This window comes from Homo sapiens, chromosome 1 (assembly GCF_000001405.40).
Source record: "Homo sapiens chromosome 1, GRCh38.p14 Primary Assembly".
NCBI lineage: Eukaryota > Metazoa > Chordata > Mammalia > Primates > Hominidae > Homo > Homo sapiens.
In genome coordinates, this window is record NC_000001.11 from 104,390,315 (window position 1) to 104,401,315 (window position 11,001).

The window sequence follows — 11,001 nt, forward strand, 5'->3', positions numbered from 1 at the left end:
GGACCCACCCAGGGCCTAGGGTACCTCACAGCCCTAAAAGGAAAGACACAGACCTGGCTGGTTTTGCCATTTGCTGATTGGAGAGCCTCAGGCCATTGAGTGAGCATAGGCAGTCATCAGGAACTGGTTACAACAGGCCTTGGGAGAGACCCAGCACTGTGCTGGCTTCATGTCTGATCAAGTATAACCATAGTGGTGGTGGCCACAGCGGTGCTTGTGTTACTCTATTTCCAGCTTTAGGTGGCTTAGAACAGAGAGGCAGACTCTGTATGTTTGGGACAATGTAAGAGAAGAGAAAAAGGATCTATGTGGTAATACAGAAAGTTTTCCCAGATCTTGTCCAAGACCATCAAGGCAGTACCTCTATGAGTCTGCAAGAACAGCATTACTGGGCCTGTGGTGCCCCTAAAATAGACACGGCTTAGAGGAAAACACCCAAGTCCTTTCAAATACGTGAAAAGCCTTCCAAGAAGGACAGCTGCAAATAAGTTGTGACAATAAAGACTACAATATATACATAAGTCTTCAATGCCAAGACACTGAAGAATATCTACTAGCATCAACAGCATCCAGGACAACATGATTTCACCGAAGGAAATGAATAAGGAACCAAGGACCATTCCTGGAGAAACAAAGATATGTGATCTTTCAGACAGAATTCAAAATAGATGTGTTGAAGAAATGCAAAGAAATTCAAGATAATACGGAGAAGAAATTCAGAAATCTATCAAATAAATTTAACAGAGAGATCAAAATAATTTTAAAAAATCAAACAGGAATTCCAGAGCTGAAAAATGCAATTGGCATACTGAAGAATGCATCAGCATCCTTCAATGGCAGAATGGATTAAGCAGAAGAAAGATTAGTGAGCTTGAAGACAATCTATTTAAAAATACACAGTCAGAGGAGACAAAAACAAAACAAAACAATGAAGCATGCCTACAGGATCTAGAAAATAGCCTTAAAAGGACAAATTTAAGAGTTACTGGCCTTTAAGGGAAGGCAGAGAAAGAGATAAGGATAGACATTTAGTTAAAAGGGATAATACCAGAAAACTTCCCAAACCTGGGGAAAGATATCAATATTCAAATACAAGAAGGTTATAGAACACGAAGTAGATTTAACTCAAAGAAGACTCCTCAAGACATTTAACTATCAAGCTCCCAAAGGTCAAGGATAAAGAAATAATTCTAGAAGCAACAAGAGAAAAGAAACAAATAACATACAACTGAGCTCAAATATGTCTGTCAACAGACTTTGTGTAGAAATTTTATAGCTGAGAGAGGCATAACATAAAGTGCTGAAGAAAAAAAAAATTCACACTACAATAGTATATGTGGTGAAAATATTCTTTAACCATAAAGGAGAAATTGACTTCCCCAGACAAACAAAAGCTGAGGAATTTCATCAATACCAGACCTGTCCTACATTAAATGCTAAAGGGAGTACTTCAGTTAGAAAGAAACGCACATTAATGAGCAGTAAATAATCACCTGAAGGTATAAAACTCACTGGTAATAGTCAGTACACAGCAAAACACAGAATATTATAACACCATAACTGTGGTGTGTAAACTACTCTTATCCTCAGTAGAAAGACTAAATGATGAACCAATCAGAAATAATTATTACCACAATTTTTCAAGACTTAGTACAATAATACATGAATAAAAACAACAAAAAGATTAAAAGTGGAGAAATGAGGTTAAAAAAGTTTTTATTAGTTTTTTTTGCTTGTTGGATTATGCAAATGCTGTTAGTTGTTATCAGGTTAAAATAATAGGTTATAAGATAGTATATGGAGGTCTCATGGAAACTTCAAACCAAAATAATAATAATAATAATAATACAATGGATACACAAAAAAATACAAAGTGAGAAACCAAATCATATCACCAGAGAAAATTACTTTCACTAAAAGGAAAACAGGAAGAACAGAAAGAAGGAAGACAAGACCATAAAACGACAACTAAACAAATAACAAAATGGCAGGAGCAAGTCCTTACTTATCAATAATAACAGTGAATGTAAATGGACTAAACTCTCCAATCAAAAGTTATAGACTGGCTGAATGAATGAAATAACAAGACCGATTAACCTCTTGCCTACAAGAAACCCACTTCACCTATGAAGACACACATAGATTGAATATGAAGTTATGGAAAAAGGTATTTCATGCCAATGGAAACCAAAAGAGAGCAAGAGTTACTATACTTATATCAGACAAAATATATTTTAAGACATAAACTATAAGAAGAGACAAAGTCACTATATAATGATAAAAGGGCTAATTTAGCAAGAGGATATAACAATTTTAGATATATCTGCACCCAACAGTGGAGCACAGAGAGGTATAAAGCAAATATTATTAGAGCTAAAGAGAGAGATAGGCTCCAATAAAATAACAGCTGGAAATTTCAACACTGCACTTTCAGCACTGGACAGATCTTTCAGACAAAAATCAGCAAAGAAACATCAGCCTTAATCGTAACTACAGAGCAAATAAACCTAGTAGATATTTACAGAGCATTTCATCCAACAGCTGCAGAATACACATTATTATCCTCAGCACATGGATTATTCTCAAGGATAAACCATATGTTAGATCACATCAGGTTTTTTTTTTGAAGTGCATACATCATTTGAAGTGCCTACATCAAAAAATAAGAAAAACTTCAAATAAACAACCTAAGAATGCATATTAAGTAACTATAAAAGCAAGAGCAAACCAACCCCAAAATTAATAGAAAAAAAATAGCTCAGAGGAGAGACAAATGACATTGAAACGAAAAAAGCAATACAAAAGATCAATGAAACAAAAAGTTTTTTTAAGTCAACAGAAGTGACAAACCTTTAGTCAGACTAATTAATAAAAAAAAATTAAGAAAGAGAAAAAGAGGGAAGACTCAAATAAATAAAATCAGAGACAAAAAAGAGACATTACAATTCATACTGCAGAAATCCAAAGGATCATTAGTTGCAACTATGAGCAACTGTCTGCAAATAAATTAGGAAATATATAAAAAATGAATAAATCTCTAGACCTATAAAACTAACCAAGAGTGTACCATAAATAAATCCAAAAACTGAACAGACTAATAACAAATAATGAGATTAAAGCCATAATAAAATGTCTCCCAGCAAAAAGAAGCCCACGACCCAATGGCTTTATTGCTGAATTCTATCAAATGGTTAAAAAAGAACGGCATGATACTGGCATAAAAACAAACACATAGATCAGAGGAACAGAATAAGAACCCAGAAATAAATCCATATACTTACAGTGAACTCATTTTGGACAAAATTGCCAAGAATGTACACTGGGAAAAGGCCAGTCTCTTCAATAAATAATTCTAGGAAAACTTCATATTCATAGGCAAGAGATGAATGGATAAAGAAAAGGTGGTACATATACATAACGGATAACTATTTGGTCATAAAAAAGAATGAGATCCTGTCATTTGCAACTACATGGATAGAACTGGAGGTAATCACGTAAAGTTAAATAAGATAGGCACAGAAAGACAAACTTTGCATGTTCTCACTTATTTGTCGGAGCCAAAGGTTAAAACATTTGAAGTTGTGTAGATGGAGAGTAGAAGGATGGTTACCAGGAGTTGGGAAGGGTATTTGGGGGATAGGCAGGATGTGGGGATGGTTATTGAGTATAAGAAATAATTAGATAGAATGTATAAGACCTAGTATTTGCTAGTACAACAGGGGGATTACAGTAAAAAATAATTTAAATCTACATTTTCAAATTACTGAAAGTATATAATCGGAGTGTTTGAAAACAAAGAATAAATGCTTGATGTGATGGGTACCTCTTTTGCCCTGATTTAATTATTATGCATGGCATACCTATATCAAAATATTTCATGTAATTCATAAATATATGCATCTACTATGAGCCCACAAAAATTAAAAATAAATAATTAATTAAAAATAAAAATAGGATCACCATATGATCCACCAATCTCATTGCTGGATATACATTCGAAGGAAATTAAATCAGTATGTCAAGGATATCTGTACTCCCATATTTATTGCGACACTAATCACAATAGCCAAAATATGGTACCAACCAAATTGCCCATTAATGCATAAATGGATAAACAAAAGGTTTTATAAATTGTGACACTATTCAGCCATTGAAAATAATTAGATAATGTCATTTGTGACAACATGGATGAACCTGGAGTACATTATATAAGTATGATATGTCAAACACAGAAGGACAAATGCCACATAATCTCACCCAAATGTAAAATCTAAAAAAGTTAATCTCATAGAAATTGAGAGTAGAATGGTGATTTTTTTTAAATTTTATTATTATTATACTTTAAGCTTTAGGGTACATGTGCACAATGTGCAGGTTTGTTACATATGTATACATGTGCCATGTTGGTGTGCTGCACCCATTAACTCGTCATTTAGCATTAGGTATATCTCCTAATGCTATCCCTCCCCCCTCCCCCCACCCCACAACAGTCCCCGGGGTGTGATGTTCCCCTTCCTGTGTCCATGTGTTCTCAATGTTCAATTCCCACCTATGAGTGAGAACATGCAGTGTTTGGTTTTTTGTCCTTGCGATAGTTTGCGGAGAATGATGGTTTCCAGTTTCATCCATGTCCCTACAAAGGACATGAACTCATCATTTTTTATGGCTGCATAGTATTCCATGGTGTATATGTGCCAAATTTTCTTAATCCAGTCTATCGTTGTTGGACATTTGGGTTGGTTCCAAGTCTTTGCTATTGTGAATAGTGCCGCAATAAACATACGTGTGCATGTGTCTTTATAGCAGCATGATTTATAATCCTTTGGTTATATACCCAGTAATGGGATGGCTGGGTCAAATGGTATTTCTAGTTCTAGATCCCTGAGGAATCGCCACACTGACTTCCACAATGGTTGAACTAGTTTACAGTTCCACCAACGAATATGGGACTACGTGAAAAGACCAAATCTATGTCTGATTGGTGTACCTGAAAGTGACGAGGAAAACACTCTGCAGGATATTATCCAGGAAAACTTCCCCAATCTAGCAAGGCAGGCCAACATTCAGATTCAGGAAATATAGAATGGTGATTACCAGAGGCTGGGGAGCGTAGAAGAGAGGGGAGAAGGCGAGAGGCTGTTTAACAGGTACAAAGTTAGTTAGGATATATTAATTCAATTGTACAGCAGAGTGAGCATAGTTAACGATAATGTATTTCACATTTCAAAATAGCTAGAAGCAAGGATTTTGAATGTTCTCACCACAAAGATATAAATGTTTGAGATGATGAATTTGTTAATTACCCTGATTTGATCATTACACAATGTATACATGTGTCAAAACATCACATTATACCCCATAAATTTGTGCAATTATTATGTGTCAATTAAAAACAAAATGAAACTTTTAAAAACACAGATATATAGGAGAAATATAGAATTTTCTCTGACAATGTATAAATATATTTTTTATTTTCTAAACTTTGTGACCTTTTGTATTTATCAGCATTGTAATTTGTAAATTTTTATCTCATTCTAATAGAGTACTCACTGTTTAATCTGATTATGTACTTATAATTTTATATTATTGCTCTTCAAGAGAGCACCTTAAAGTACATAAATTTTTTGATTTATAATTATTGACCTATACCTGTCTATAGGGAGGGTTCAACCTCTTAACTCTACCCATTAACCCCCAGCACATAAATCCACATTTTTAACTTCTTCAGATAATTCACATTGACTTATATGTAGCAGAATTTCAGTCATTCAGAGGAACAGAGCGGAAAAAGAATCTGGAAATCTGAATGCCTTTCAAAGCTATTTTCTCATATTCTTTTTTTTTCTTTCTAAGAAGCCTGATTATCATGGTCACTACTTCTTTCTGACTGTAGTAACAAACTTAATTTTCTTCCTTGTTTTAGCTTCATACCATGTACTTTATAGAAGGAAGGTATGGAATCTAAGTAGCTAAATAACAGACAAATCTTGACATGTAAACTAGGAACAGCTCCAGAGGAAAATTTACTTTCTAAAAGTAAATATTTACGTTAAGATTGAAAACAGTCTAAAATTTGTAGGATTCACTGAAATATGTCTGTTTTTTGAGCAAGAGCTTGGTATCAGAAACAATGAAACTTTATGAAAATACTAACTCTCTAGCACATCCTGGCTTCCTTAATCTATTGAACCAGAATGGTTAGGGGTCCCCTCACTGTATTTAAAGTTCTCAAAATGAGACAGGTACAACCTCTTCCAATGTGTATTCTGTAAAATCTAACCTAGTAGTCCCCTGTCTATACAATGTGTTACTGAATCTCTGAATTAACCCCCTAGTTGGTGAGGTATGTCCTATTATCTTTATTAGTCATTATTGTAAGTATAAGCCTCTTGATTGACCCAAAGACTATTTGTTTTAAACTTTCTCTTCTCAATTATTTTTTAATATTTATTAAGAAACTGTTGCTAAATACTGTGCAAGAAAATTTAATCATATTTTTCTTGAGCCCTTATTCCAATTCTGTTGTGGATTGAATTGTCTCCCCAAAAAGAATATGTTGAATTTCTAACCCACAGTATCTCAGAATGTGTTCCTATTTGAAAATACAGTCATTGCAGATGTAATTACAAGTCTGACTCAGACCACCATGATAAAGCAAATAACACAATAAAGCAAGCAACACCAATTTCTAGGTTTCCCAGTGCATATAAAAGTTGCTTTTATACTATGTCTTCATCTTTTAATTGTGCAGTAACATTATGTCTAAAAATGTACATATATTAATGAAAAATTACATTATTGCTATAATGCTAGCTGTCATCAGGGCCCTCGGTGAGTTGTAATCTTTATTGCTGGTGGAGGTCTTGGCTCAAATGTACATAGCTGCTGACTGATCCGTATGGTGGTAGCTATAGGCTGGTGTAGTTGTGGCAATTTCTTAAAATAAGATAACAATAAACTTTGTCACATTGATTGACATCAATCCTTTCCAATTCTGACACGGCTTTATCAACTAAGTTCATGGGATGTTCCAAATCATTTGTTATTTTAACGGTATTTACAACATCTTCACCGTAGTAGTTTTCATCTCAAGAAACCAGTTTATTTGTTCATCCATAAGAAGCAAGTCCTCATTAATTCAAGATTTACCATGAGATTATAGCAATTCGGTTATATCTTTAGGTTCCAATTCTAGTTTTCTTACTATTTCCGCCATATTTGCAGTGACTTTCTTCACTGAAATTTTGCACCTTACAAAATCATCTATGACGGTTGAAATGAACATGTTCTAAACTCCTATTAATTTTGATATTTTGACATCCTCTCGTGAATCATGAATGTTTTAATGGAATCTAGAATGGTGAATGCTTTCTAAAGAGTTTTAAATTTACCTTACCCAGATCCACCAGAGGAATCACTATCTATGGCATTACAACTTTACAAAATGTATTTCTTAAGTAAGATTTGAAAGTTAAAATTACTTTTCATCCATGATCTACAAAATAAATATTGTGTTAGCAAGAACAAAACATTCATCTTCATGTACATCTCCATCAGAGCTCTTGGGTGATCAGGTGTATTGTTAATGAACAGTAATATTTTGGAGGGAGATTTTTTTTTTCTTAGGAGTAAATCTCAACAATGGGCATTGATAAGGCTTGGCTCTGTGTCCCCATCCAAATCTCACCTTCAATTGTAATAATCTTCATGTGTCAAGAGGGGAACCTCGTGGGAGGTGATTAGATCATGGGGGTGGTCCCCCATGCTTTTATCATGTTAGTGAGGGAGTTTTCAGGAGTCTGATGGTTTTATAAGGGGCTTCCCTCACTCTTCGCTCAGCAATCATTTTCTCACAGAGAACCCCCCTGCTTCTCTGTGAAGAAGTGCCTTCCACTCTAATTGTAAGTTTCCTGAGGCCTCCCCAGCCAGGCAAAACTGTGAGTAAATTAAACCTCTTTTCTTTACAAATTAGCCAGTCTCAGGTATTTCTTCATAGCAGTGTGAGAACAGACTGATACAGGTTTAAAACTCATTGAACATTGCTCTAAATAGATGCACTACCATCCAGGCTGTGCTTAATTTACAGAGCACAAGCAGAGTAAATTTAGTATAATTACTAAGGGCCTTAGGATTTTTGGAATGTTGAATGAGCATTGGCTTCAACTTAAAGTCATCAGCTTCACTAGCTCCTAAAAAGGTAGTCAGCATGTCTTCGAAAGCCAAACATTGACTTTTCCTCCTTAGCTATGAAAGTTCTAGATGACATCTACCAGTAACAGAACGTTTTGTCTACAAAAAAATCTCGTTTAGTGTAGCCACTCTTATCAATGATCTTAGGTACATCTTCTGGATAACGTGCTAAAGTGACTACTTCACGACTTGCTGCTTCATCTTGCAATTTTATGTTACGGAGACAGCTTCCTTCCTTAAACATCATGAACCAACCTTTGCTTGCTTGAAACTTTTCTTCTGCAGCTTCCTTACCCCTCTCAGCTTTCAAAAAATTGAAGAGATTTAGGGATTTGCTCTGGATTATGCTTTGACTTAAAGAAATATTGCATCTGGCTTCTTGTTCTACCCAGACCAAACTTTCTCTATATTAGTAACAAGGCTTTTTGCTTTTTTTTTTTTTTTTTTCTCATTTGTGTGTTCTGGAGTAGTACCTTATATTCCCTTCAAAAACTTTCTCTTTTCATTTACAACTTATCCAACTGGTGCAAAAGGTCCAGCTTTTAACCTAAGCTTTTGATTTGACTTCTTCAATAAACTTAATCATTTCTAGCTTATGATTTAAAGTGAGTTCCTGGGATTCATCCTTCCACTTGAATACTTACAGGCCAATATGGGGTTATTAATTGGCTTAATTTTATTATCATGTGTCTCAGGGAATAGGGAGGCCTGAGGATAGGGAGAGAAGCAGGGGAATGGTTGGTTAGTGGATCAGTTAGAACACACATTTATCAATTAAGTTTCCTGTGTTACATGGGCATACTTTGTGGTGCCCCAAAACAGTTATAACAGTACCATAAAAGGTCATTGATTATATATTACCATAACAGGTTTAATAATAAAAATATTTGAAATATTGTGAGAATTATGAAAATGTATCACAGAGACATGAAGTGAGTACATGCTGTTAAAAAAAGTCACTGATAGATTGGCTGGATATAGGATTGCACAAACTGTTAATTTTTAAAAAGTACAGTATCTGGGCCGGGAGCTGTGGCTCACCCCTGTAATCCCAGCACTTTGGGAGGCCGAGGCGGGCGGATCACAAGGTCAGGAGATCGAGACCATCCTGGCTAATGTGGTGAAACCCCGTCTCTACTAAAAATACAAAAAAGTAGCCAGGCATGGTGGCATGAGCCTGTAGTCCCAGCTACTCAGGAGGCTGAGGCAGGAAAATAGCTTGAACCCGGGAGACAGAGGTTGCAGTGAGCCGAGATCGCGCCACTGCACTCCAGCCTGGTGACAGAGCAAGACTCCATCTCAAAAAAAGAGTGCAGTATCTATGAATCAAAACAAAGTAAAGCAAACTAAAAGAAAGGTATGCCTGTAGTTAAAATGAGGTAATTCTTGGTTAGAGTGGGCTCATATTGCAGCGTGACTGGTGTGCTTATCAAAAGAGAAGAGACACAGAGACAGAGACACAGGGAGAATGACATCTGCAACAGAGGTAGACAGTCCAAATTAAAGAAGCATTGCTGGCAAGCTTATAAAAGCTAGGAGAGAGGCAAGAAATGATTCTTTCATACAGGTTTCGGAAATAGTATGGCACTGCTAACACCTTGTTCTTGAATTTCTGGCCTCAACTGCTGTGAGATGATAAATGTTTGTTGTTTTAAGCCACGCTGTTTTTGTTACTTTGTTGCAGCACACCTAGAAAACTAATATAAATTTTGTGAGAAAGACTGTCATTTCTATCAGGGGCTCAGAAAGGTTAAATAAATTATCCAAGTTTACCATATTGATGGTAAGTAATATTGTCTGTGTCAAACCCAGTGTTTTTTCACTGTATTTCTTGTTGTTTTAAAAATCACATAAAACTTCTGTATAACTCATGAAATCTACTATGATAAAATATGATAAAAACAAATATTTCATAACGTCTTTGAGTGGAATCTAGTGTGTATTCTTCTCTCAAGAATAAATAGCAGTAGAGTGTTTCCTTTTTTATGAGTAAAAGAGAAAGTACTGATATTCTCTTGTGTCTCTAATTGGATGCCATATGTTGAACTCTGTCAACCCTTTTCATCCTTCTGCCCTCTGTGACACCCCTTGAAATCAATAAGAATGTTAAAATTAAATCAGACTATATGTGTTGAGAGAATCATAAAATCTGTATAATCCAGATACTCTGGTTAATGACTGAACACATGAAAAGAACAGTAGAACTCTATTTATATAAAACCAACATTTGTCCTCATTTGTAGTAGCAACCTTTAATGTCTTTTCTGTTAACATCAGTTTTGAGGAAATGTTTTATATCCATCATTTTTAGAAACATTTCTCAGTTGCAGTTTGGAATAGAAATGAAAGCACTCATAGAATTGTTTTGCTGTGTATGAATGCAGATACAAAGTGATATTTAGGGAGAAAAAATGGAAGTATATAGTTTAGCAAAATAAGCTTTTGAGAACATTTTATTTCAGTTGGTTTATGCAATGAAATACATTTATACAAAAGAGACCCTTAAAATGAGACTACTTTGGAGTTTTAATTACTATAAGCTAATGTCAAAAATGTTATAATAAAATTCTCACCTATAAAAGGTGTGAGATACAATTATCAGTGACAATGTGAGATTTTATTTTAATTAATTTAATCTGTATTTGATGGAGTAAATTGAACACACAATTTAGCAGTATTGGCAATCTACATATTCTGGACCTTCCCATGGATTATTGAGTTTCCTAAAATAACCTAAATATATTTAAGTTCTGGATCACATATCATCTCCTGAAAGAAAATGAAATCCCATGGCTAATATAATCATCAAAA